At 49.5% G+C, this 26,917-nt stretch overlaps 1 protein-coding gene and 2 long non-coding RNA genes across 16 annotated transcripts in view, besides 3 other annotated features; 2 read left to right on the top strand and 1 right to left on the bottom strand.

Annotated features, from left to right (window-relative positions):
• Positions 1–18,158, top strand: part of PXDN (peroxidasin) — a 113,015-nt gene extending 94,857 nt beyond the window's left edge. For all 5 annotated transcript variants that reach the window (XM_011510396.2, XM_047445789.1, XM_005264707.4 and 2 more), the window contains 7 exons: positions 370–1,873; positions 5,293–5,427; positions 6,469–6,677; positions 10,623–10,743; positions 11,067–11,199; positions 14,524–14,637; positions 15,722–18,158. In XM_011510396.2, coding sequence (XP_011508698.1) covers positions 370–1,873; positions 5,293–5,427; positions 6,469–6,677; positions 10,623–10,743; positions 11,067–11,199; positions 14,524–14,637; positions 15,722–15,841 — 2,336 coding nt within the window. In that variant the 3' untranslated portion in view covers positions 15,842–18,158. The remainder of the gene's footprint in view (positions 1–369; positions 1,874–5,292; positions 5,428–6,468; positions 6,678–10,622; positions 10,744–11,066; positions 11,200–14,523; positions 14,638–15,721) is intronic.
• Positions 9,539–10,472: an enhancer, noted in NCBI's record as "H3K27ac-H3K4me1 hESC enhancer chr2:1643345-1644278 (GRCh37/hg19 assembly coordinates)". NCBI's record gives its function as "activates a minimal SCP1, AML or CMV promoter by ChIP-STARR-seq in naive H9 embryonic stem cells {active_cell/tissue: H9 hESC(naive)}" and the evidence as "EXISTENCE:reporter gene assay evidence [ECO:0000049][PMID:30033119]".
• Positions 12,306–12,900: an enhancer, noted in NCBI's record as "H3K27ac-H3K4me1 hESC enhancer chr2:1640917-1641511 (GRCh37/hg19 assembly coordinates)". NCBI's record gives its function as "activates a minimal SCP1, AML or CMV promoter by ChIP-STARR-seq in primed H9 embryonic stem cells {active_cell/tissue: H9 hESC(primed)}" and the evidence as "EXISTENCE:reporter gene assay evidence [ECO:0000049][PMID:30033119]".
• On the bottom strand, positions 13,831–16,014 carry LOC124907723 (uncharacterized). Its single transcript, XR_007086188.1, has 2 exons — positions 15,672–16,014; positions 13,831–14,360 (listed from the first exon to the last, which is right to left on the bottom strand). It is a non-coding gene; the product is annotated as an uncharacterized LOC124907723 (long non-coding RNA).
• Positions 23,961–24,790: an enhancer, noted in NCBI's record as "OCT4-NANOG-H3K27ac-H3K4me1 hESC enhancer chr2:1629027-1629856 (GRCh37/hg19 assembly coordinates)". NCBI's record gives its function as "activates a minimal SCP1, AML or CMV promoter by ChIP-STARR-seq in naive H9 embryonic stem cells {active_cell/tissue: H9 hESC(naive)}" and the evidence as "EXISTENCE:reporter gene assay evidence [ECO:0000049][PMID:30033119]".
• LALTOP (lung cancer associated lncRNA targeting TOP2A) overlaps positions 24,626–26,917 on the top strand; it is a 140,518-nt gene continuing 138,226 nt past the window's right edge. For all 10 annotated transcript variants that reach the window (NR_198948.1, NR_198949.1, NR_198950.1 and 7 more), the window contains exon 1: positions 24,626–24,796. This is a non-coding gene — a long non-coding RNA (lung cancer associated lncRNA targeting TOP2A). The remainder of the gene's footprint in view (positions 24,797–26,917) is intronic.

Raw genomic sequence — 26,917 nt, 5'->3', positions numbered from 1 at the left:
TTAAAGTGAGGTTGGAACAGTGTCAGCCTGGACTGGTCAACGTGGGTCGGGCTCCATCGGTTAGGGGTCTCCCAGAGGAGAGCTGCTGGTTGAAACCATGAGACTGCTAAGTGGGGAGGGGAGACAGGGCCCAGAAACTGGGGCTGTGGAGAGAATACCTGTGTTTGGGGCTGGAGGAGGGGAGGAGCAGTTTTACCAAACAGGAGGTGAGCAGGTTTCCAGCAGGAAGCGCTTGTTGCATGGCGCACAACAGGTTTCATGAGCTGGGGGTAGATAGCCCCATGTCAGCGGCAGAGGTGCCAAGGGGTACCGGGCCCTCACACATCCTCCAGGGGAATTGAGTGCGTCTTGCTTTTCTCCACGTCCCAGGTTACCACTACAACGACCTGGTGTCTCCACAGTACCTGAACCTCATCGCAAACCTGTCGGGCTGTACCGCCCACCGGCGCGTGAACAACTGCTCGGACATGTGCTTCCACCAGAAGTACCGGACGCACGACGGCACCTGTAACAACCTGCAGCACCCCATGTGGGGCGCCTCGCTGACCGCCTTCGAGCGCCTGCTGAAATCCGTGTACGAGAATGGCTTCAACACCCCTCGGGGCATCAACCCCCACCGACTGTACAACGGGCACGCCCTTCCCATGCCGCGCCTGGTGTCCACCACCCTGATCGGGACGGAGACCGTCACACCCGACGAGCAGTTCACCCACATGCTGATGCAGTGGGGCCAGTTCCTGGACCACGACCTCGACTCCACGGTGGTGGCCCTGAGCCAGGCACGCTTCTCCGACGGACAGCACTGCAGCAACGTGTGCAGCAACGACCCCCCCTGCTTCTCTGTCATGATCCCCCCCAATGACTCCCGGGCCAGGAGCGGGGCCCGCTGCATGTTCTTCGTGCGCTCCAGCCCTGTGTGCGGCAGCGGCATGACTTCGCTGCTCATGAACTCCGTGTACCCGCGGGAGCAGATCAACCAGCTCACCTCCTACATAGACGCATCCAACGTGTACGGGAGCACGGAGCATGAGGCCCGCAGCATCCGCGACCTGGCCAGCCACCGCGGCCTGCTGCGGCAGGGCATCGTGCAGCGGTCCGGGAAGCCGCTGCTCCCCTTCGCCACCGGGCCGCCCACGGAGTGCATGCGGGACGAGAACGAGAGCCCCATCCCCTGCTTCCTGGCCGGGGACCACCGCGCCAACGAGCAGCTGGGCCTGACCAGCATGCACACGCTGTGGTTCCGCGAGCACAACCGCATTGCCACGGAGCTGCTCAAGCTGAACCCGCACTGGGACGGCGACACCATCTACTATGAGACCAGGAAGATCGTGGGTGCGGAGATCCAGCACATCACCTACCAGCACTGGCTCCCGAAGATCCTGGGGGAGGTGGGCATGAGGACGCTGGGAGAGTACCACGGCTACGACCCCGGCATCAATGCTGGCATCTTCAACGCCTTCGCCACCGCGGCCTTCAGGTTTGGCCACACGCTTGTCAACCCACTGCTTTACCGGCTGGACGAGAACTTCCAGCCCATTGCACAAGATCACCTCCCCCTTCACAAAGCTTTCTTCTCTCCCTTCCGGATTGTGAATGAGGGCGGCATCGATCCGCTTCTCAGGGGGCTGTTCGGGGTGGCGGGGAAAATGCGTGTGCCCTCGCAGCTGCTGAACACGGAGCTCACGGAGCGGCTGTTCTCCATGGCACACACGGTGGCTCTGGACCTGGCGGCCATCAACATCCAGCGGGGCCGGGACCACGGGATCCCACCCTACCACGACTACAGGGTCTACTGCAATCTATCGGCGGCACACACGTTCGAGGACCTGAAAAATGAGATTAAAAACCCTGAGATCCGGGAGAAACTGAAAAGGTGAGCTGAAGAGGCTGTGTGGGATGGCTCGTGTACCTAGGCACCTGGAACACCTGAACTGTGGTGTGTGTGTTATTTGTCTCTGTGTGTGAGTTTTGTTCGTGTCGTGCAGAGGTGAGATGAAGGTCAAGTCCATGAAGGTCAAGATGGGAACCTGCAGCCTCCCGTGGCTGCGTGGTTGTGGGGAGGGGGCAGAGCCAGGGGTGGATGGACGGTGGAGGGCCCTTCCACCGGCCTGTTTTGTTCCAAGAGAGGAGCTTTGCTGAGCTGTGGCACATTTTCAGCTTAGAGATGAGCTATACTTTTCTGGCAGAGGGGTTGACTGCAGGGAAAAATACACTGTTCGCACCAGAAAACACCAAAACTGACACTGTGGCTGTTGGGCAGCTTCGGGTTCCTGCTGTTGTATCAGGGGCAGAGAGAGAGGCAGAGCTTGGTGTCTGCAGATCCGGGCCCTTGGGGCCACCAGCCCCTAAGGCTTGGCCTGTAGCATCTTCCATACTCACTGTGTTGCCCAGACCCAGGCCTGTGGGGCCACCTGCCCATGACCGCCACAGATGGCGCCGCTTCTGAGCCACAGCCTTGATCACCTGTGGGTGCGGTTCTCCTTGTTCTGCCACAAAGGCAAAATGGGACGCTGTCACCCCTGAGACAAGGGAAGCTGGCCAGGTAGATTAGGAGACCTCGGACCCTGTGGGGTGGAAAAAATGGCAAAGTTTTACAGGCAAAGCAGTGACCACAGCACTACCCAGGCCTAGGACTGGGGTAGGATCAGGGCTGCCGGGTCCATAGCCAGTCCCCTTCCCAGGACTCGGTGCCACAGTGGGGTTCTCATTAACTCAGAATTCCCCAAAGTGGAGACATTCAGCGGCTCTCCTTTTTGCTAGATATTCACATCTTTTACTCACTACCTTTTTTTTCATGTTATTTCTACCAGTTTATTTGCTTTTTGTATTTTAAGGAAATAGAAATAATTGCAGCCAGGCCCGGTGGCTCATGCCTATAATCCCAGCACTTTGGGAGGCTGAGGTGAGTGGATCACGAGGTCAGGAGTTCAAGACCAGCCTGGCCAAGATGGTGAAACTCCACCTCTACTAAAAACTACAAAAATTAGCTGGGCGTGGTGGCAGGCGCCTGTAATCCCAGCTACTCGGGAGGCTGAGCAGGAGAATTGCTTGAACCTGGGTGGCAGATATTGCAGTGAGCCGAGATCACGCTACTGCACTCCAGCCTGAGTGACAGAGACCCCATCTCAATCAAATAATAATAAATAAAAATAAAATAATTGCTCATCAGTGTTTTCCCATTGTGATTCTTCTCAGTCCTTGGATTATGAATCAGATTCACAGGTCACTGTGTATTAGGAGATGTTATTCCCATTCAAAAACATTGTTTTAAAAAGAAGAAAAACCCTTTCTTCTTAAGACTGTCTTCCTGTATTTGATGGACTCTGCAGTTGACTCCTAAGTTACTTAACGCTGAAGTTAGGACATACCCTGTTAGGATCTGACCTGTGCCTTCTAGGGGAAAGTGATTTTTTACTTGTAATTTATTGTAAGTTATGACTAAATGAACATGATGTCCTATTAAATTTAATATGTTCCAGTATTCATTTAAATAATGCGCTTAAATTACTGGCATTTGGAAGTGTGTGCGCACTCCGTTAATCCAGTGTAATTTTTTTATCATGGTTTTGCTGAATTAGGACTGATGTGAACTGTCTGTGTTTTTTATGTGCTTAAATATCCTCCTTTGTTCTTGTCCAAACTGACACAGATTACTCTCCCAGATGATTCTCTCTTTTGCCAAACTTATTTCAAAACATTTCAAAAGAGCTAGATGTGGAGCCCAGCGCCAGGTGGACCGCGGCTGTGTTGCATGCTAGGTCCCTGGTAAAGAAGTTAAGGATGTTACCCACACACTGAGCCCCTCGTCTCTTTATTTATGTTTTCCTGTCTCAGCCCATTGCTGACTAAGGGGAAATGAAACATAAACATGAGAAAAGATGCATGACCATCAGAGACCATGGGGCCAGGAGGACTTCACAGGGCAGAGGGGTTGCCTTCGGCAGACTGTAGAGATTGTGTAGTTCTCATCTACTTTGTGTTTCACGGCCGCACGGCGAGTGGATGGCGTGGCGTTGGCCTGGGCTCGCCTCTGCTGCCCATCCCCAGCCGTGGGACATTCCGGAACTGCGAGGTCTCTTCCCTGGAGGAAGCTCCTTGGATTCAGGTGGAGGCTTTAGACTCTGGTGAGCCTAAGGAATGTGACTATTCCAGCCCCTGTGAGTCCCTCCCAGCGGTGGGGGACAGAAGAGAGCAGGCACCCAGAGCAGGAGCCGCCCGGAGCAGGAGGGAGTCCTCTGGGAAAAGGTGTGGACGCTTCTGGTGGCCCTAGTGTGCTGTCCTCAGCCACAGACCAGATGCTGCCAGGGTCCTCCCGACCAAGTTTCACTCCCAGGGGACATCTTAGAGCTAGAAGTTCAACCTGAATGTCATTGAACTTAGAAGAAAAAGGGACAATTTGTCTTTGAAAGACTAAATGCTAGTTTACATAAAATTGTGTTTATTCTACGGTAAGACCAATGGCCAGTGAGGACACAGCCCTGTGTGCATCCTGTTCAGTAAGCAACAAAATCTGTCTTGATCCTAGGGTTCAGTTGGTGGTCACTGATTTGAGTTTTGTAGAAAAGGGCAGTGAGAATTATAGAATATATATATGTTAAAAATCGAGTAGAGCTTTGAATAGCAGTTGAAACAGGCATCATCTGCTGCGTAGTCGAGTTCTAAGATGAGATTAGCTGATTCGTAGTAGAAGTTGTGACATGTTGCTTATAAGCCTATATTTCTAAGGAATTGGAAGAAGTCGATGAAAATGTTTGTTCTTGAACACATAAACCTAAGTTTTTTGCCCTATCTTTGCTTAGCAGATATTTTCTTTATGGCAAATATATTTTCAATATATAGTAGAATCAAATGTTATTCTTTAAAAATGTATATACTTTTAAAAATACACATGAACAATAAACTATATACATTTAGCTATATATAGTTTATTGTTCATATGTTTATTTTAAAAAGATTGGAAGGGTATACATTATGATGTTACGTGTGGTTATCCCTGAATAGTTGGAAAAGGTGTGGCTTAAATTTTCTTCCTTATCTTTTCTTGGCTTTTCTAAATTTGTTATAATAAATGCGTTTGTGTGTGTGTGTGTCTCACATATATAATAGAAAGTAGGGAAAATCCTTTAAAGCATTGTGGAGAGATGCAGCAAAGAAGTAAATATTTTCTTTGTTAAGTAAAATTCTAAATAATGTAAAATAGTGATAGAAAGAAAGAACTGTTTTTATATTTGCTGTATTTTTTACCACGTGCAGCTTTGTTAGGTAGATTTCAGTTTTCTCTTTATTTTTTAGGTTGTATGGCTCGACACTCAACATCGACCTGTTTCCGGCGCTCGTGGTGGAGGACCTGGTGCCTGGCAGCCGGCTGGGCCCCACCCTGATGTGTCTTCTCAGCACACAGTTCAAGCGCCTGCGAGATGGGGACAGGTGAGCACGTGCACCAGAAAGGGGAGCACGCTCCTAAGCCACCTTCTTAGGGACTCCAGAGGAGAAGAGCTGTCCTGGTTGAGACTGAGGGAGGCACGAGGCCCTAGTGTCTTCTGTGTGTCCCCGGTTGAGAATGAGGAAGGCACTGAGGCCCTGGTATCTTCTGTGCACCGCCTTGGGCTTACATGTCCTTGCAGCCTCAAAACTCAACCACACCAGGTTCAATGATGCTTTTCCCACCCCTTCATTTATAGGAATATTTCTGTTCCTGTAAACCTGTTGGACAGTCCATACAGCTAAACCACTGTGGGACTTTAGAGGAGTTTGGGCTTCGGGCAAGATCTTTGTTTTATCTCTAGTCTACTGTTATTACTTTACTTTAATGTAGTGGAAAGGCAGACCCTACCTATTACAAACTATTTCAGCAGACCTGAAATAACTGCCATGCCAGTTTTGTTTTGTTTTTTTAAAGTTGCCCATCGTCTTTGTTGCTAGTCAGAAGAGCTAACACTGTCGTTCTTTTTTTTTTTTTTTTTTTTTTTTTTTGAGACAGAGTCTTGCTCTGTCACCCAGGCTGGAGTGCAGTGGCGCGATCTCGACTCACTGCAAGCTCTGCCTCCCGGGTTCACCCCATTCTCCTGCCTCATCCTCCCGAGTAGCTGGGACTACAGGTGCCCACCACCACACCCGGCTAATTTTTTGTAGTTTTAGTAGAGATGGGGTTTCACTGTGTTAGCCAGGATGGTCTCGATCTCCTGACCTCGTGATCCGCCCACCTCGGCCTCCCAAAGTGCTGGGATTACAGGCGTGAGCCACTGCACCTGGCCAACACTGTCATTTTTACACCAGATTGTCTGCCTTTGGTTTTGTTATGGGGTAGGGGATGTGAGCAGTGTGTGAGTCCATTTTTAAGTGACACCTAATCAAACCTAGTGGTTTCTGTATTGCTGTGAACTAAGCAGGGGAGATTTTAACTCAGCTCCTAGTGACCTGTGAGTCTCCTGCCCTTCTCTGATCCTGCTTTCATTTTGGGGGATCCAGGTTGTGGTATGAGAACCCTGGGGTGTTCTCCCCGGCCCAGCTGACTCAGATCAAGCAGACGTCGCTGGCCAGGATCCTATGCGACAACGCGGACAACATCACCCGGGTGCAGAGCGACGTGTTCAGGGTGGCGGAGTTCCCTCACGGCTACGGCAGCTGTGACGAGATCCCCAGGGTAGACCTCCGGGTGTGGCAGGACTGCTGTGAAGGTGCGTGCCAGGGGCACCATGTCTGTTCCTTTTTCATCCCTGGTTTTGGTGACTGCTTGGCGGGTGCTTAATGACCTGCAGATGTCATCCTAATCTTGAAAACTGAAAACAAAATATTCAGCTTTAGATTTAAATCGTGCTGTATCCATGCTGAGATGGACTGCGGAGCCAAAAATATGAACAAAGTTGGTGATTCTGAGGAATTGGCAGTGCTGTGGGAGAACATTCAGAATAACTAAAACACTAAGAGAAACAGAAACCCAGGCTTCAGCAAGATGTGCCCCTAATTTTTCCTTAAAGCCTAATGTATGTCTAGCTTCCAGTACTTGTGTAGCCAGATAAAAGACGAAAATCAAAATATGGAAGAAGCATATCAAATATATCAGGTTTTCTTAAAAGTTAATCTGAATGTTGTAAATATCTGTAACATAAGTGACTGAAGATAGATGTTATCAAATATCTCGTGAGGAGCCCTGCAGGTAGGAGGTGGTCTCATGATTGGCGCGGGGGGCCCTGTAGCTGAGGGACGCCCTGATATCAATCCCACAGCCCCGGCACTCGTGCCCTGGAGTGCCAGCTCCGTCTTCCCTGCAGAGGCGTCAGTGGCCTGCTGTGTGAGGCGATGGTTCTCCTGGCTGAGTTCCTGCTTCGCATTCCTAACTCCCAGTCTTGGTTAACCTCCATTTCCATTACTAATTTGAACATAATTTTGGCTTTATTCAAACTATGATCAGATCCCCATAAAATACCAAACTGGGGATGTTTAGAACCCAAGTTGTGGAGCACTCACTCTTGTGGTGAGAGAAGCAGGGCCCACCACAATGGGGGGATCTGGGGACCTGCGGTGAGCGTGACCGGGAGGTGGGGCCAGATCCCGGCCTCACCCGGCAATCTGTGGAGCTTGTGGTGTCTGTGGACACTTGGTAGTTTAAGAAGAGACACACAAAGTACAGACACTGTCCACATATTCTCCACCACCTCATTTTTCCTGAAGTAATAGTTCTGGCCAAGAGCTTATTTAATTTAGTAAGCGTTGAAATCTGCACTGATAATAGAGCTGTGTTTTAGCAGCTTCTTCTAAGAGAGTGCGTGCCTCTGTGTCTGTGTGCGACTGTGGGGTGTGTGTGTGGAGTGTGTGTACCTGTGGGGTGTGTGGGGGGTGTGTGTGATCTAATCCTGCATCTGCCTCCTCATCTGCACCCCCCACCACCCACACACACATGCATGGAAGTATATATGATAGGAGAATTCACATAAAAAATAAAATTATGCTTGCTAGGTACCCAATTTTCCAAATTATTTACATGCTTGTTATTACATCTGTTGGAAACTTATATCTGTTTTTTGTTTTATTGTTTTGTTTTGTTTTTGTTTTTGTTTTATATCCTCACTGGTTTATCCAATTCAAAATGCTTTTCTACAAGCATGGTAGAAAATTTGTTCTGTTTGTAGAAAATTGTTCTCTTGAAAATGATTAGGAAAAGCCAATGATACAAAAACCCATTTTCTGATAACTTTACCAGGCCCCTGTTAGCTGCTTATTAAGAAGTACAGCCAGGCTTTCTGTTCTTTTGCTAAGAAAATCCAAAGTCCTTTGAAAGACTTCATCTTTAAAGCCAGTCTTTGTTCCCCGCATGTTACAAGCCCCTCCTCCTCTCAGGGCACTGTGGGAGAGGCTTAGCTGCTGAAGCAATTGCTGACATTGTTTCTTCCGGACACTTTTCCCTCTTAAAATACCAGGCATGGCCTTAAGCTGACACAGCTTAGAGAATACTTGATAAGCTTTACCTGTTTTTATTTTACCCCAAAAGCCATATCTAAATACAGCAGAAAAATACGAAAACAGAACTCAGATTTGACAGAACCAAATGTCAATTGCTATTTACTTTTCAATTAAACTTTTTAAAAAGACACATTGGGGGCTGGGCGGTGGCACATGCCTGTAATCTCAGCACTTTGGGAGGCCGAGGCAGGTGGATCACCTGAGGTTAGGAGTTCGAGACTAGCCTGGCCAACGTGGTGAAACCCGTCTCTACAAAAATACAAAAATTAGCCGGGCGTGGTGGCGGGCACCTGTAATCCCAGCTACATGGGAGGCTGAGGCAGGAGAATTGCTTGAACCCAAGAGGCAGAGGTTGCAGTGAGCTGAGATCGTGCCATTGTACCCCAGCCTGGGCAACAAGAGTGAAACTGTCTCAAAAAAATAAAAAAATAAAAAGACACATTTAAAGCGAACGTCCTTGAGCTACAACTTTTCATCATTTGCTTCGTTGATGCCTACAACAAGTGCTGTGTGGGGTCTGCACTAGGTCTGGGAAGCCAGCCTGCTCCTGGCTTGGCCAGCCTGGGCAGCACAGAGCAGGTGCAGGCCAGGCCGCTGAGCAGGTGTGGCCCAGCCGTGCCCTGGGGTGTGAGGAAGAGACGGCCATCCTGGAGGGACGGAGGTCCCATCAAAGAGTTCTGGGGTTGGGGCTGGTGTGCGCTTTGGCAGGGACCCCACAGTGCCTGGGACCGTGTCCTGGCCCTGCTGCTTCCCTGTCGCCCTGTAATTCTACCAGGGACCCACCCCAGACCTGCACAGCCCTGGGTGGACCCCACCTGCCAGTGAGGCTCATTCTTGACCCCAGGTGTTGCTGGGAGGGGCTGCGGTAGTCTGGGAGGCAGCTGCTGTTTTATGATGTATTTGTGTGCCCAGGAGTTTTAAGAAACTCTGCTCTTCTCTGCTCCTGAGACGATTTGTGGGTGGAAGAAGCGAGGGGTCCAGCCAGCTGGGTTTACTCAGAAGCTGTATAGTTAACTGCGGAAATAAACACATTCAGTGGGACTGTTTGTGGGCTCCGCTGTGGGGGCAGAGGGAGCTTTAGGTCTCTGTCTTGAAGATACTCTTTCCAGCCAGTCAGACAAATGCTAGACCAGAAGGAGCCGGCCGCCCTTCAAGGGAGACAGGAAAGCTAGCATGGGGTCTGAGGTGTATGCTGCACGTGCCTCTTCTCTTCTCATAGAATTTCTACTCCAGTGGCTTCCTGAGACATTAGCATTTTGCAAAGGTCCATATTTGCCCTTCACTTTCGTGCTCTGCCACAGCTTTCTTGGGTGGGGATGATGTACAAGACAGACTGAACACCCCATTACTTCGTTAGATAGTGTGTCCACAGGGCCCAGGTGGGACACGGCACTGAGGGCCCCTCACTCACCCGGGGACCAGGAGGGACACGGCACTGAGGGCCCCTCACTCACCCGGGGACCAGGAGGGACACGGCACTGAGGGCCCCTCACTCACCCGGGGACCAGGAGGGACACGGCACTGAGGGCCCCTCACTCACCCGGGGACCAGGAGGGACACGGCACTGAGGGCCCCTCACTCACCCGGGGCTCAGGTGAGGCATAGCACTGAGGGCTTCTCAGTCCACCACAGGTTGAGAAGGAAGCCACTCCTAGGCAGGGAGGTGTTTGGGCTACATTCAGGAGAAGCAGGGTCAGGCCGCCTCTTGTCTGACACTGGGGCTGGCAGTGTGACGTAGGGAGTGTAGCATAATTTTAAGGCACTCCAGAGTGCAGATTGTCATCTGGCCATCGGGGAGGGACCCCCAGAAACAGCAGACTCTGATCTCCGAGGCAGAGTGCCTGAGCCTCCATCTGTGGGTGGAGGGAACTCCGCGAGGGTGTGGTTAGATGGCGTGGTGAGCCTCCTCAGTGTGCCCAGCTGTCCTCAGGGCGGCCAGCACCAGGAGGTCATGAGGGCTGGGGCACAGGTGGAGAGAGGCTTGGCCCCTCAGACCAGGAGAGGGTAAGAGCCGCAGACCAGCTGCCAGGTTGCCTCACTGAAATGTGCCACAGTTTGTTCCACGGGCAGCCAGTGAAGACTTCATAGTTGGCAGGATGTGCTTAATTTCCCCGAGGTCAGAGCCTTCAGAGCTGACATTCTGCTTTGTGCTTCCATTTTAGACTGTAGGACCAGGGGGCAGTTCAATGCCTTTTCCTATCATTTCCGAGGCAGACGGTCTCTTGAGTTCAGCTACCAGGAGGACAAGCCGACCAAGAAAACAAGACCACGGAAAATACCCAGGTATGGTGGTCTCTGAGGTCAAATGATGTGCAGAGGGGCCCTCGCACCGCGGGCGTCGGGCAGTAGGACCGGCATCCTGCTGTGGGCCTGTGGCGAGGATGGTTCCTGGCAGGGACGTCCCAGGGCACTGGGGGCCAGGCCGCAGCCTGCGTCCTGCTGTGCTGCCCACTCAGAGCATCAGGGGCGGTGCACACCCAGGAAACCTTGAAATGAGACCCAGCTCAGAGCATCAGGGGCGGTGCACACCCAGGAAACCTTGAAATGAGACCCGGCGTGACCTGCCAAGGTTATATTTCCCTCCTCCTCCTTTCCCCTCACCACAGTGTTGGGAGACAGGGGGAACATCTCAGCAACAGCACCTCAGCCTTCAGCACACGCTCAGATGCATCTGGGACAAATGACTTCAGAGAGTTTGTTCTGGAAATGCAGAAGACCATCACAGACCTCAGAACACAGGTGAGGTGCCTGGCGGCCTGTGTCCCCCCACTCCAAGATTCCACAGCAGCACAGCCCTGCCCGAACCTTCTGGGTATAGCATTTTATTCCCAGGCAACTGTTCAACTGCCCACACAGGACCCAGACCCTGGAGCCTTGGGGGTGTCATTTCTGCACGCTGGGTCAGGCCGGGCCATGTGCCACTGGTGTCCCTGGGTTTCCCAGCAGATGGGGGTCACCAGGCAGGGGCAATCTGTGTCACGGCCGTGTGACTGCCAGCCAGGTGACCTTGCTGGAGGGAACACAGGATTAGGATGCTGTAGGAGAGTTCAGACATGAAGTCCTGTTCTTAAGCCTCTTATTCAGGAATAACTCTGAATCATCTCTCCCAGGGCGTGGTAAGGAGGCACTTCCAGGTCAGCCCTCCACAACTGATCCAGCCTCTCCGGGTGTGAGGAAAGTCCTGGTGTCTGTGGTACGACCACAGGGATTTTCAGACGGGGCTCTTCTCTGGCGCTCTGTGGAAATGAGTTCTGTCCTCTCCTTCCTATCCCAGGAACTTACTTCTGCTTTCTTCAGTGCCTGTGGTGGGGGTTATCTCTGGGATTTTACGTAAGGGGGTGGAGATTGAGACCTATGGCTAAATAGAAGGAAGTGCGCTCACTCCGCTGGTGTGGATGGGATTCCCAAGGTGCGCAGGTCCTGGCTGTCTGCAGCACATTTAATCTGTAAGCACAGCTCCTTTCCTACTCACAGGACTCTTAGCCCTTAGGTTTGGGAGAAACTTCCATCATCTCCTAGTGTAGCCCCAAGGTAACCCCCAGCCACAGGGAGAGGTACCCTGACTACTCCTGTGCCTGCCCCCTCATCCCGTGCAGCTGCAGGTCCTCCTGCCTCTGCAGCCTTGAGACCAGGTGCAAGTCCCCAGGCAGCTGTCAGAGTGGACGACATGTGGCAGGTCCTCCTGCCTCCGCAACCTAGAGACCAGGTGCAAGTCCCCAGGCAGCTGTCAGAGTGGACAGCATGCCGCAGGTCTTCCTCCCTCCGCAGCCTAGAGACCAGGTGTACATCCCCCAGGCAGCTGTCAGAGTGGACAGCGTGTGGCAGGTCCTCCTCCCTCCACAGCCTAGAGACCAGGTGTACATCCCCCAGGCAGCTGTCAGAGTGGACAGCGTGTGGCAGGTCCTCCTGCCTCCACAACCTAGAGACCAGGTGCAAGTCCCCAGGCAGCTGTCAGAGTGGACAGCGTGCGGCAGGTCTTCCTCCTTCTGCAGCCTAGAGACTAGGTGTACATCGCCTGGCAGCTGTCAGAGTGGACAGCGTGCAGCAGGTCTTCCTCCCTCCGCAGCCTAGAGACCAGGTGCACATCCCCCAGCAGCTGTCAGAGTGGACAGCGTGTGGCAGGTCTTCCTCCTTCTGCAGCCTAGAGACTAGGTGTACATCGCCTGGCAGCTGTCAGAGTGGACAGCGTGTGGCAGGTCTTCCTCCCTCCGCAGCCTAGAGACCAGGTGCACATCCCCCGGCAGCTGCCCAAGTGGACAGCATGCAGTGTTCACTCAGCTCCACCTGGCACTAGGAGAGAAGCAGAGACAAACCCAGGCTGACCCTTGGGGTCCGTGCTGGGGCCTGGGTGCCCTAGGGGGGTCCACTGGGGAGGGGGGTCTGTGAACCCCAAGGTCATTCAGGGCAGGCCTTGTGCACAGGTGACCCTGGACAGCATAGCAGAGGCAGAGGGGGACCAGCCACCCCACCTGTGTCGGCAAATACCAACGCCCTATGCCCTCCCATGTTGCTGATTCTGTCCACAATGCTGGACTTCCTTCCACCCTCAGGATGAACGGGCAGCTCCCTGGGTGGCAGCGCTGGGTCTGAGAAATGTGGATGTTCCTTGTGATTTTGCAGCTGCTGACAGCACAGGGTGTGTGCCGTCTGTGGTCATTTCCCTGCACCCCATGTGTGCAGAGGTGTTCGTGTATCTTGGTGACTGCAGAGGCACACACAGGCCGGCGTGGTCACTGCTTCTCTCTGGCTGTGAATTAAAGCAGGTCAGCCGCAGACACAGAGGTGACATGCAGGTCACCTGGAACCTCTGCAGACCGTCCTGGCTGCCACCCCTAAGTGCTCTCTGGCCCCTGTGCCACTGTTCCTGAGGCTTCCTTTTTTTTTTTTTTTCCCCCATGGTTTCAGCTAGAAAGTTCTAAGCTTTGATAACTTAAGTGCCAGTTGCTAATGAATGAGGCATGCAGGAAAGATGGCTTTCATTTAGAAGCCGTATCTGAGGCATTTCCCAAAGTGAGTAACTGTTTGGCTAGTTAGGTCCTAGATGTCCAGCTGTCATTATGAAATGCAGATGGTACGGTGAGGGGACGTCCACCTTTTTCAGCATGATGTGTGCATAGGTGAGACACTGCTGCTGCACAGGTTGGGGACCACACACTTATGGCTGACAGGAGATCAAAGAAGATGTTTTAATTGACATGAGTAAGTGGGTGGCTTGCTGAAGTTATTCACAGCCATCATCAGACAGCCTTACCTGTGGCTGAGCATGCTTTATGAAGGCTTATTAGAAGAATTGGGATATTTATGATAAATAATTTGTGTTCATTTCAGACATCACAGACAGTTTAGGTTCAAATGCAAGGGACGGAAAACTCCAAATCCAGGATGGTTTTAATGAGGTGCGAGTTTACTTTTCCCTCAGTCGTGGAGATTGCTGGACCCTCCGCAGTGCAGGGTCCCTGCTGCAGCTTGGTGCTGTACTGTGGGTGGCCTCTTCCCAAGGTCACCTCATGGCCCAGGCATTTCCGGCCACTGTCACCCTGTCTGCCCCCCGGCCCTGCAAGATGCAAGAGAGGGTTTGAGGAAGGAGACCCTTCCAGGAGGCTTCTGCTACCCCTGTGCATGGCACAGCGGTTGGAAAGGTCACCTTGTTATGGGGCCCCGTGCTTCCAGAGAAAAGCCAGTGGTGTTGTTACTCGGAAAATAAGGCAGACTTGACTCTGGGGATTCTGAGTGATCATCGTTCGTTCTGGTGGAAGTGTAGGTGCAGGACGTTCTCGTCATCTGGTTGAATCTTGCTCCCACAGTCCTCTGAGAACGTCGCCTTTGTGACTACGGTTTTTATTTGACAGCACGGTGGTGGGAATGTCTTCCATTGGGGCGTGTGGTCAGCTGCCGCCAGTCTAATAAGGACATTGGAGATTCTGTAAAAGTTCTTCAGAAATATTCCCCTCAAATGTTGTTTATTTTAAGGCATTATTTTCAGTGAAATAACATCTTTTAATACAAGAGCCAAGCTGTTACTCTGAAGTGCCCAATGAATGAATGTTCTTTGCATTGCTGCAGATAAAGAAACTTGAATCACGGCTCAGTACCACAGAGTGCGTGGATGCCGGGGGCGAATCTCACGCCAACAACACCAAGTGGAAAAAAGATGCATGCACCATTTGTGAATGCAAAGTGAGTATGGGGGGCTCTATCTTCATGTCCTAAGGTATACGCAAGTCCGAGAGTCCCATGTGACCACTCAGGTGGGTGGCCCAGATGTCAGGGCCAGGCCCCTCCCCGCCTACCTGTGCTGGCCTCCATCCCTCCTTCACTCCTATGGAAGCACCAGGCAAGCCCAGCTCTCTGTGCACAGAGGACGTGCTAGGAGGCCCAGAACCTCAGCATGGTCCAACCCCACAGAGGGCGGGCAGCCCCTACTCTGTGCAGGGCCACCTGGGGCTGCTTGTGTGCACTGGCTTCACCTCCCACCAGCTGTGGCAGGAATACTCATGCCATGGAAACCCATGAATGGGGTAGATCAGCTCCTCCCTGCAGAGCTGGTGGGTAAACACTGACCTGCCCACCACTGGCCCTGTCCCATCTCCAGTCAGAGCTGGGGGTGTTACAGAGGTCACTGGAGTCCCTGCAAAGGGAGACTGGTGGCAGGTGGAGGGTGCCCTGGTGCCGGCAATGGACAGACGTCTGGCTGGAACCAGGCTCCGTGGAAAGCTTGGGGCATAGTGTGAGGAGGCAGGATGGGGAGGACAGCGCGCCAGCCCGGGCACTTCTCTTGCCATGGCCATTGGGAGAGGACGCGCATCAGTGTCCCTGAGCTGGTCAGGTTTGGGAAGGGCAGACCGGGGAAGAGCAAAGCCCTGTCCCTTCCCCCCTCTCTCTAGTCCCATCCTGCTTCCTGACAACGCCCACCCCCAGACACAGTCCGAGGGGATCCAGGTGTGAGGTGGGAGGATGTGTCCAGCTGGTGGTCTTGGCCCCTCAGGGTGAGAGGACCGTGGGCATGGACGGAAGGGTGGGACGGGAGCCTCAGGGAGACTTGTTATGGGGGCTCCCATTAACTCATACCTGTCTGCAACTATGAAATCCTAAGAGAACCACAAAATCCATGCCCACAGGGCAAGTACAGCGGGCAAGGCAGGGGCCTCAGGGCAAGGCCTGACTCATGGCCGTGGCTGACACCTGTCCCGGAGCTGACAGGCTTTGCTCACCTGAAGGCCATCCCAGAGCTGACAGGCTGTGCTCCGTCTCTCTTCTCCAGGACGGGCAGGTCACCTGCTTCGTGGAAGCTTGCCCCCCTGCCACCTGTGCTGTCCCCGTGAACATCCCAGGGGCCTGCTGTCCAGTCTGCTTACAGAAGAGGGCGGAGGAAAAGCCCTAGGCTCCTGGGAGGCTCCTCAGAGTTTGTCTGCTGTGCCATCGTGAGATCGGGTGGCCGATGGCAGGGAGCTGCGGACTGCAGACCAGGAAACACCCAGAACTCGTGACATTTCATGACAACGTCCAGCTGGTGCTGTTACAGAAGGCAGTGCAGGAGGCTTCCAACCAGAGCATCTGCGGAGAAGGAGGCACAGCAGGTGCCTGAAGGGAAGCAGGCAGGAGTCCTAGCTTCACGTTAGACTTCTCAGGTTTTTATTTAATTCTTTTAAAATGAAAAATTGGTGCTACTATTAAATTGCACAGTTGAATCATTTAGGCGCCTAAATTGATTTTGCCTCCCAACACCATTTCTTTTTAAATAAAGCAGGATACCTCTATATGTCAGCCTTGCCTTGTTCAGATGCCAGGAGCCGGCAGACCTGTCACCCGCAGGTGGGGTGAGTCTTGGAGCTGCCAGAGGGGCTCACCGAAATCGGGGTTCCATCACAAGCTATGTTTAAAAAGAAAATTGGTGTTTGGCAAACGGAACAGAACCTTTGATGAGAGCGTTCACAGGGACACTGTCTGGGGGTGCAGTGCAAGCCCCCGGCCTCTTCCCTGGGAACCTCTGAACTCCTCCTTCCTCTGGGCTCTCTGTAACATTTCACCACACGTCAGCATCTAATCCCAAGACAAACATTCCCGCTGCTCGAAGCAGCTGTATAGCCTGTGACTCTCCGTGTGTCAGCTCCTTCCACACCTGATTAGAACATTCATAAGCCACATTTAGAAACAGGTTTGCTTTCAGCTGTCACTTGCACACATACTGCCTAGTTGTGAACCAAATGTGAAAAAACCTCCTTCATCCCATTGTGTATCTGATACCTGCCGAGGGCCAAGGGTGTGTGTTGACAACGCCGCTCCCAGCCGGCCCTGGTTGCGTCCACGTCCTGAACAAGAGCCGCTTCCGGATGGCTCTTCCCAAGGGAGGAGGAGCTCAAGTGTCGGGAACTGTCTAACTTCAGGTTGTGTGAGTGCGTTAAAAAAAAAAAAAAAAAAGAATCCCTATACCTCATTTGTATTTTTAAAATGCGTGATGTTTTATGAAATTGTGTCCATTTTTTAGGTATTAGATATGGCAGAAAAACCATTTCCACTATGCAAAGTTCTTTTAGACGTCAGTGAAAATCAACTCTCATACCTCATGGTCTCTCTTTAATTGACCAAAACCTTCCATTTTTCTCTAAATACAAAGCGATCTGTGTTCTGAGCAACCTTTCCCCGAACACACAGCTTCAGTGCAGCACGCTGACCTGAGTATCCACCATGTGCCAGGCACAGTGCTGGGCACACGAGGCACCAAGGTCCGGGCCACCTGCCCGCAGCAAGGCCCAGCTGAGGTGGTGGAGGGAGCCCCTGAGGTCAGGGGCCGTTTCGGTTCAGGGTGGCAGGTGTCCAGCACTGGGGTATGGCGTCGAGGCTTCCATGGGGTGGGGGAGGCCAGCTTCCTTCTGACAGGATGGGCGCATACAGTGCCTGGTGTGATTTGTGCACAACCCGTGTTCCAGGTGCACATCCTCCCAAGGAGACACCCAGACCCTTCCAGCACGGGCCGGCCAAGTTGCTGCGGCGGAGGCAGCATTTCAGCTGTGAGGAAGGTCATTGGATTCATGTGTTTTATCTGTAAAAATGGTTGTCTTAACTTCTTAACCTCATATTGGTAAGTGATTGATAAAAATTGGTTGGTGTTTCATGACATGTGGACTTCTTTTGAAATAGCAAGTCAAATGTAGTGACCAAATTGTGGAAGAGATTTCTGTCAAATAGGAAATGTGTAAGTTCGTCTAAAAGCTGATGGTTATGTAAGTTGCTCAGGCACTCAGATGACAGCAGATTCTGGGTTCTGGGAGTGTTCTGTGCCTCTTACATGCCCTGGAGGCCTCATGGTCTCAGTGCTGAGGCGGCACACCTGTAGCACACCTGCGTAATGTGCGGTCTGGGCCAGTCACAAGGAATTGTGTTGTCTAAGCCAAAGGGGGAAGCTGACTGTGATTTACCAAAAAAAATTCTGTAATTCAAACCAAAATGTCTGCGGAATCACCAGTTTGATACTCTCTGTAATCAGAACAGTGGGCAGTGCCTGGGTGAACGTGTCTAGCAGCCACTGTGCGGGATCGCTGTAACAGGAGTGGAATGTACATATTTATTTACTTTTCTAACTGCTCCAACAGCCAAATGCCTTTTTTATGACCATTGTATTCAGTTCATTACCAAAGAAATGTTTGCACTTTGTAATGATGCCTTTCAGTTCAAATAAATGGGTCACATTTTCAAATGGAGAATGGCTTTATTTTTTTTTACCTGAAACCAGTACATGAGGCTAAAACTTTTCCAGGTGAGATCAAAAGCCTGAGAAGGGAAGGAGGTAGGTCCAGGAAGAAGCCCCAGAACTGTCCTAGTCACTAATCATTTTGTGACTAAATGTGAAAAAATTACTAAAAATAAGGTATTAGATAAAGTTGACTTCCTTTTCCGAAGCAGCTGGGATGCTTTAACCCGACTGAATTTTGGCAGGTGGGAGTGAGCTCTTGGGAAAAACCTCTGGCAAATAAATGCCCTTGTCTCCTGGAATCTTTGTGCTGTGGAGAAGGACATTTCTTTGTCAGAGAGGAGTGTACAAGCAATTCACACACCGAGGTGTCTGAGATGGGCAGATGCTTTTCCAGAAGCAAGAGCGCAGGTCAGGAGGGCACAGTGCACGGAAGACAGACACTCCCTTTCCAGGCCTGAGCTATGTGTGGCTCTGGGGCCAGAAGTCGGGGATGACATGTGACAATTGCTGAGCCCCTCAGGCTGTGGTTGGGTGGGAGAGAGGATGCTGCTCTAAAGGAAACTGGAATGGATCTGAGGGCATCTTTATAGGGCCTGGAAAAAATACTACTCATCTATGTAAGGAGAAAAATGAAATATTAACGAAAATTAAATATTATGTTGTTAAAATTGCCAAATCATTTCAAAATTAGAATGATAAATTGAGCTGCTTTCATGGAATGTTTATGAACATGGGATGAACACTCCTCAATCAACAAAAGACAAATTAGGTGCTTTTCTGTCACGAGGGAATGAGTGCCATATACCAATTTTAATTTAAATGAAATGCCTAATGCAAAACTAGCAAAAGTTAACCATATGTATCTTGTTTTAATAATATGTAGAATGCATTGAAACATTCCTATTGCTTTTTGTTATTAACACTTAATACCTGTTTCTGGTGTGCAAAATTATATGTCAAATGACATAAATACAGGCATACCTGGGAGATATTGTGGCTTCAGTTCCAGACCACCGCAATCAGTGACTATCTCAATAAAGCAAGTCATACAATTTTTTTGGTTTCCCGGTGCGAATAAAAGCTGTGTTCACATTACACTATGGTCTATTACATGCACAAAAGCATTATGTCTAAAAAATGTACATACCTTAATTTAAAAATACTTTATGGCTAAAAATAGTGAACGATCATCTGAGCCTTCAGTGAGCTGTAATCTCTTTGCTGGTGGAGGGTCTTGTGTTGGTGTTAATGGCTGCTGACTGATTAGGGTGGTGGTTGTTGAAAGTTGGGGTGGCTGTGTCAATTTTGGAAAGTAAGACAAAATGAAGCTTAGCGCATTGGTTTAGCCTTACTTTCATGAAAGATTTATTTGTAGTAAGGGATGTTGTTTGATAGCATCTTACCCACAGAATTACTTATTTCAACATTGGAGTCAGTCCTCTCAAACCCTGCTGCTGCTTTATCACATAAACTTATGGAATATTCTAAATCCTATGTTGTCATTTCAACAGTGTTCACAATATCTTCACCAGGAGTAGAGTCCATCTCAAGAAACCACTCGCTTTGCTTATCCCCAAGAAGCAACTCCTCATCCATTCAAGATTGATCATGAGATTGCAGCAATTCAGTCCCATCTTCAGACTCCACTTCTAATTCTCTTGCTATTTCCACCACATCTGCAGTTACTGCCTCCACTGAAGTCTTAAACCCCTCAGCGTTATCCATGAGGGCAGGAATCAACTTTTTTAACAGGCACTTCTGTTAGTGTGTATATTTTGACCTGCTCCCATGGATCATAAATGTTTTAATAGCATCTAGAGTGGTGAATTCTTTCCAGAAGGTTTTCAGTTTACTTTGCCCCAATCCATTAGAAGAGTCACTGTCTATGGCAGCTACAGCCTAATGAAATGATTTCTTACTTGAAAGTCAAAATTATAACTTGATCCATGGGCTGCAGAATGGATGTTGTGTAAACATTCATCTCTTTGTACATCCCCATTAGAGCTCTTGCATGACCAAGTGCATTGTCAATGAGCAATAATATTTTGAAGATAATTGATTTTTTCTGAGCAGTAGTTCTCAAGAGTGGGCTTAAAATATTCAGTAAATTGTGCCATAAACATATGTGCTGTCATCCAGGCTTTGTTCCATTTATAAAGCATGGGCAGAGTTGATTTAGCATAATTCTTAAAGGTCTGAAGATTCTCAGAAGTAAATGAACATTGACTTCAACTTAAGGTCACCAGCTGCACCAGCCATGGCAAGAGAGTCACCCTGTCCTCTGAAGCTTTGAAGCCAGGCATTGACTTCTCCTCTCCAGCTATGAAAGTCCGGAATGCTTCTTCTTCCAATAGAAGGCTGTTTTGTCCACATGGAAAATCTGTTGTTTCATGTAGTCATCTTCATCAGTGATCTCAGAGCTTCTGGAGAACTTGCTGCAGCTTCTCCATCAGCACTTGCTGCTTCTCCTTGCACTTTCATGCTGTGGAGACGGCTTCTTTCCTTAAACCTCAGAATCAACCTCTGCTAGCTTCAGAGTCTATTTCTGCAGCTTCCTCACCACTCTCAGCTTTCACAGAATTGAATGGAATTAGGGCCTTACTCTGTGTTAGGCTTTGGCTTAAGGGAATGTTGTATCTGACTTACCTTGTATCCAGACCATTCAAACTTTCTCCATATCAGCCATAAGGCTGTCTCACTTATTATTTGTGTTTCATCATTAGTGTGTTCACTGGGGTAGCACTTTTAATTCCCTTCAAGAACTTTTTCTTGGCATTCACGACTTGGTTGTTTGGCACAAGAGACCTGGCTTTTGGCCAATTTCAGCTTTCGACATGCCTTCCTCACTAAGCTGAATCATGTTTAGCTTTTGATTTCAAGTGAGAGACATGTGACTCTTCCTTTCACTTGAACACTTAGGGTCATTGTAGGATTATTAATTGGTCTAATTTCAACATTATTGTGTCTCAAGGAATAGGGAAGTCTGAAGAGAGGGAGAATAACCCATTCGGGGCCCAAAGCAATTAATAGTAACATCAAAGATCATTGATCACAGATCACCGTAACAGATATCATGAAAAAGTTTGAAATATTGCAAGAATTACCAAAATGTGCCAGAGACACAAAGTAAGCACGTTACTACAAAAATGGCCCCATTGGATTTGCTCCACACAGGGTTGCCACAAACCTTTAATTTGTAAAAAAACAAAACAAAACAAAACAAAAAAAACCTGTATCTGTGGGCCGGGAATGGTGGCTCACGCCTGTAATCACAGCACTTTGGGAGGCCAAGGTGGGCGGATCACCAGAGGTCAGGAGTACGAGACCAGCCTGGCCAACGTGATGAAACCTCGTCTCTACTAAAAATACAAAAAATTACCCAGGTGTGGTGGCGGGTGCCTGTAGTCCCAGCTACTCCGGAGGATGAGGCAGGAGAATCGCTTGAACCCGGGGAGGCAGAGGTTGCAGTGAGCTGAGATTGCGCCACTGCACTCCAGCCTGGGCAACAAGAGCGAGACTCCAACTCAAAAAAAAAAAAAGAAAAAATGCAGTATCTGTGAAGTGCAATAAATCAAAGCATAAAATGAGTTGTGCCTGTGGTTTTTTGTTTGTCAAAGCATTCACCAAAAGATTCTTCCATGCGTTTAGTGAACTTCCCAAATGTTTTCTGACAAAAGTTTCCGGAAGGCATCTGATTGGCATCCACTGAGTTTCATGCAACAGTTTTTCTGGTGAAACCAATTTATCACCACCCACAATTCTAGTCATGACACTCTAGAATCTCGGAGATGGAATAGATGAGTGAGCAAAGTGTATTTGCAAAAGAGTCATCTATTCCTAAGCTATCACATGCTTTAAGTTTATCCAAGTCCCCACCATGTGACCAGTTGGGAGCCTCAGCTTGAACGGATTTAAGATTATCCTGTAATTACAGATGAGGAAAAATGGTCCTAGAAGGCTGGCCACATTGCACCAGGCCACCAAACAATATGAGAGCTCATCCAACATCAGCCCAGCCCCATGCGCTGTTGCACACAGTTGTGAGCATTGCACCTGCCCGATACCCCAGCCTGCCTGTATCCACCCCGGTTTGCACACCACTGTGAGGAAGCACGCCCCATCATGGCTCCTTAGCTCAGTCCTGCTGAGGGGTTGCCATTCCCAAGTTGTCCTTAATGTCCTAGTGGCTATAACAAAGGCACCAAACAGCCACTACAGTTTTGCTTTTCATGTATTCAGTGTTAAGCCTTTGTGCTTAAAGTCTTCCATTTTAGGTTTACTTTCATTTATATTTATGGTAACAAATATGCTCACATCCCAAACCTGGGGATATTGACAGTCAGTTAGCATGTTTGAATCTGGAAGATTCCTGAAACTCCAGTAATGACTGTTTTTAATGTTTGTGGGATTTGTTAAAAATAACTCGGTCTGTGTTCACCATCACAGTATCTGGGGTTTCTTTGTTCCAACTGTGGGGACTCCAGAGGGCGGAAGCCAAGGTTGAAAGCCTAACATCTCCATTGTCCTTCCCATTATGTCGTGAACGTGTCCCTAACTTAACAAAGTGATCCTTTTTCCATCATAACTCTGGATGTCACCCTTATGGTCTAGTACAATACCGCCAAGAAACCACAGTTTTCAGGAATCACTTTGCGGTTACTGGTTTGGTGCTGCGGAGGACGGAAGGAAACACTGTGTACTCCTTTATCAGTTGCAATGACTGTTCAGACATGGACAGTAAATTGGTGTGGCTTTTCTATTACCGTGGTTTGGGGAAGAGAAGGAATAGAAATCTTCAGATTTTCATTATTATTATTTTTTTCTGACCTTGAGCATAATCTTAAGTTATAGGAAAAATTTTATCTTCAATGTGTTTTATCAAAAACATACCTCCTTAATGATTATTAACCCACAATTAAAAGCCGTAAGTGGACCATCCTGGCTAACACGGTGAAACCCTGTCTCTACTAAATATACAAAAAAATTAGCCGGGCATGGTGGCGGGCACCTGTAGTCCCAGCTACTCGGGAGGCTGAGGCAGGAGAATGGCATGAACCCAGGAGGTGGAGCTTGCAGTGAGCCAAGATCGTGCCACTGCACTCCAGCCTGGGTGACAGAGAGAGACTCCATCTCAAAAAAAAAAAAAAAAAAAAGCCCTAAGTTAAGTACTCTATGATGTTATCGTCACATGCTTTTAAAATTGTCTGCATCCTTCCCAGCATGCAAACTGCTTTTCTTGTTGTTTTGTCCTCAAGAAGCAAACTCATCAGGACATAGGATTGGAGCCTGGCTGAGTGACTAGTATGCACCTGTTTATAGAGGAAGTTCCTGGAAAACATTCATGTTTGTATTATTTAAAAATTACTGCACCAGAAATTAACTCAGAGAATGACCACTGGTCATCATTTCTTATGATTCAGGGTGTGTAGGGGAAGGGAGCAGGATGTTTGATGCCGTGTTGTGGCCGCACACTCTGTGGAGACTCGGGACCCTGAGCTTGCCGGGAAGGCTCTGGGCTGGGCTGTGTCCGGCGGCCTCTCTCTAACTCCTCGGTGCCCTGCCTCCCATGCCCTGCAGTCAGGAACTGCTGGACCCAAGACTCGAACCCACTGCCTCTGACCTTGAGTCGGGTACTCTCTTCATTTTACCAAATGTAGAGCAACAACGTGTACATTGAATTAAAACTTTGATATCCGAAACACGGATAGAATTGCAGAGTTCATTGGAAGCTTCGCATCCGAAAGACAAAATCGTGTAATTTTAGGAACCTGAGTGCTTGTAATAAAACGACTGCAATTTATTAGCTCTGTGGCCTTTACCAACTCACGTGACCTTTCCAAATCTTTTTTTTTCTTTGTAAACCAGAGACAATTACGCCGTCCACCTTGTGAGTCTGCTGTACAGATGACCTGAGATGTTCCTATCAAAGTGCTTAGCTCAGGCTAGGAGCTGAATTCTCCTTTCCCGGTCATTTGAGCACAGCCTTGCCCCTAGAGCCCTCAGGCTCAGAGACCCTCCCCCACATCCCATAATTACTTTTAGAAAAACACAGAGACTCACTCATGCTTTCGGGCAGCAGGGAAAAGAGAAGATTCTGGACCTCTTCCCTGACTTCCTACACTGCCTGAAGGTAAAGGCAACGAAGTTATGATGAGAAGCAGCTGAAGTTATGATGAGAAGCAGCTGAAGTTATGATGAGAAGCAGCCGCATCAGACCCAGAACATCTGGCAATTAGAGGCCAGTGGCTAATAGCTCAAGCCTTGCAGAGGCCAGGAATGTGGTTACAAAAGACGGTGCACCTGGGCCCAGCGGGAGCCTTCCAGAAACTGCCGCACAGCCCTCCCCAGCACCCTCCTTCCTGAGTGACTGAGTTCCCCCAGGCATTCCAAACACACCTTTCCTGTCTTTGTGTTTGCTCAGCCTGTCTTCTCCTCCCCTCATCCTTGTTGCTTGAAATATCTCCGTAGCTCCCCATTGCCCACAGCCGGATCCACGGTGACTAATCTCCGGGAAGGCGTCCAGCGTGAGCCGTGAGGCCTGCACCTGCGCCGGACTTCACCACTCACCAGGAGTCTCTGCCCGCCGCCCCCAGCGCGGTTCTCTTCCCTGCTAGACGTAAAGTCCTGGGGACAAGCACAGCCCAGGTGAGCTTTGCTCCACCATCCTTACCTTAACTCGAAATCATGGCTGATTCTGTCCCCGTCCTACTTCGGTAGTGGGGCTCCATGACTTTTTTTTTCTTTTCTTTTCTTTTTTTGAGATGGAGTCTCTCTGTCACCCAGGCTGGAGTGCAGTGGTGGCGCGATCTCTGCTCACTGCAAGCTCCGCCTCCCAGGTTCAAGCGACTTCCTGCCTCAGCCTCCTGAGTAGCTGGGATTACAGGTGCCCACCACCACACCCGGCTAATTTTTGTATTTTTAGTAGAGACGGGGTTTCATCATTTGGACCAGGCTGGTCTCGAACTCCTGACCTCAGGTGATCCGCCTGCCTCGGCCTCCCACCGTGAGCCACCGTGCCCGGCTCCGTGACTTTTTAAGAGGTGAAGATCTTTGCTTATAGCCTGATGGTCACAGAGTCTTTGTATTTTTTGCAAATAGTACACCTGAAGCCGTGAGATTTGGGTGAGCTCCATTCCCGTTAATTGCTATTTGAGCTCAGACAAATTATGTAACTTATTTGAGACTCAATTTTCAGCTATAAAATTGTCAACCTAATAAGAATTTTTTGGCCAGGTGCGGTGGCTCATGCCTGTAATCCCAGCACTTTGGGAGGCCTAGGTTGGAGGATCGCCTGAGCTTGGGAGTATGAGACCAGCCTGGGTAATAAGGTGAAACCCCATCTCTACCAAAAATACAAAAAAAAAAAAAAAATTAACCAGGCGTGGTGGCTTGTGCCTGTAGCCCCAGCTACTCTGGAGGCTGAGGTGGGAGAATTGCTTGAACCCACAAGGAGGAGGTTGTGACAGAGGGAGACTCCGTCTCAAAACAAAAAGAAAAAAAAAGAAAACAGTATATTTTATTTGAACAAAATAAATGTCAGTAAAAAGAAAAAAAATAAAAAGGTTACAGCCGTCTGACCTGCCGGGGGCGGCAGCGGCTTGTTGGGCAGAGTCGCCATGTTGTGCACCCAGATCCCGGCAGGGTCAACCCCTTCCCTGCCAAGAAAGAGCAAGTCCCACCCTCTCAGGGGTCCGAGGGCCACGGCTGTGTCATCTGTGAAGGTAACTGGGGAAAACGGCTCTTCTGGATGCTCCAGAATTGTTTGTCTTATGGACCCTGTGGATAAATACCTCCCTGGTCTCGTGTGTGGAGGTAGCTAGAGCTTTGCCTGGGGCATCGTCGTGCTGTCAGCATGAGTGGGCACTAGAGTAACCTCAGCTCGGTGGTGGAGACTGTAAGCAAGTCCAGATTAGCAATGATCATTCATCTTGCCATCTCTTCCTTCACTTGTTCATTCAGCTACCGGGAGCCCGGCTCTGTGCTCCTAGCTCTGTGACCGAGGTAGATATAAAATAGGCAGAGACTCCATGCAGGTTAGATACAGACTGGCTGGAGACTGTGTACAGTCAATACAGACCAAATATAGGCTAAATATAGGCTATGTATAGACTACATATGGACTATAGACTAGATGGAGACTGGGTATAGCTATACAGGCTTGCAGCCTATATAGCTTAGCTATAGACCAGGTGTAGTTTGGATATTGATTAGATACATACAGATTAGATGTAGACTGCATGTATTAATAGATGAAATATAGAGAAGATATTGACTTGATGAAGACTGGATATAGATGGAAATACACTAGATATGGCCTAGATATAGACTAGATGTAGAGTACATATTGACTAGATACATTAGACTAGACGGACTGAATCTACATGAGATACTGACTAGATATAGACTGGATATAGACTAGATATAGATTAGACTAGATGTAGAGTGGATATTGACTAGATACTTATAGACTAGACGTAGACTGGATGTAGATGAGATATTGACCAGATATAGACTGCGTATAGACTAGACAGCCTAGACGTGGACTAGGTAGAGACTGTGCTGGGTTCTGCTCTATTAAGGAGCATGGAGAAAGAGAAGATGGACGAGTGACGTGTTGGGCTGTGTGATGAATGTGTCAAGGAGAGCACGGGACCACCCAGGAGCACACAACAGGGGCTCCTTGTTCCTCATGGAAGTGAAGAAAACCTCTTGGCAGTGAGGAGCCCTGGAACAGGGCTGGGGCAGCCATTGGAGGGGACAGTGACA

Source organism: Homo sapiens, chromosome 2 (assembly GCF_000001405.40).
Source record: "Homo sapiens chromosome 2, GRCh38.p14 Primary Assembly".
NCBI lineage: Eukaryota > Metazoa > Chordata > Mammalia > Primates > Hominidae > Homo > Homo sapiens.
The sequence above is the reverse complement of the archived record's forward strand: the minus strand, read 5'-3'. Positions and strand labels throughout refer to the sequence as shown.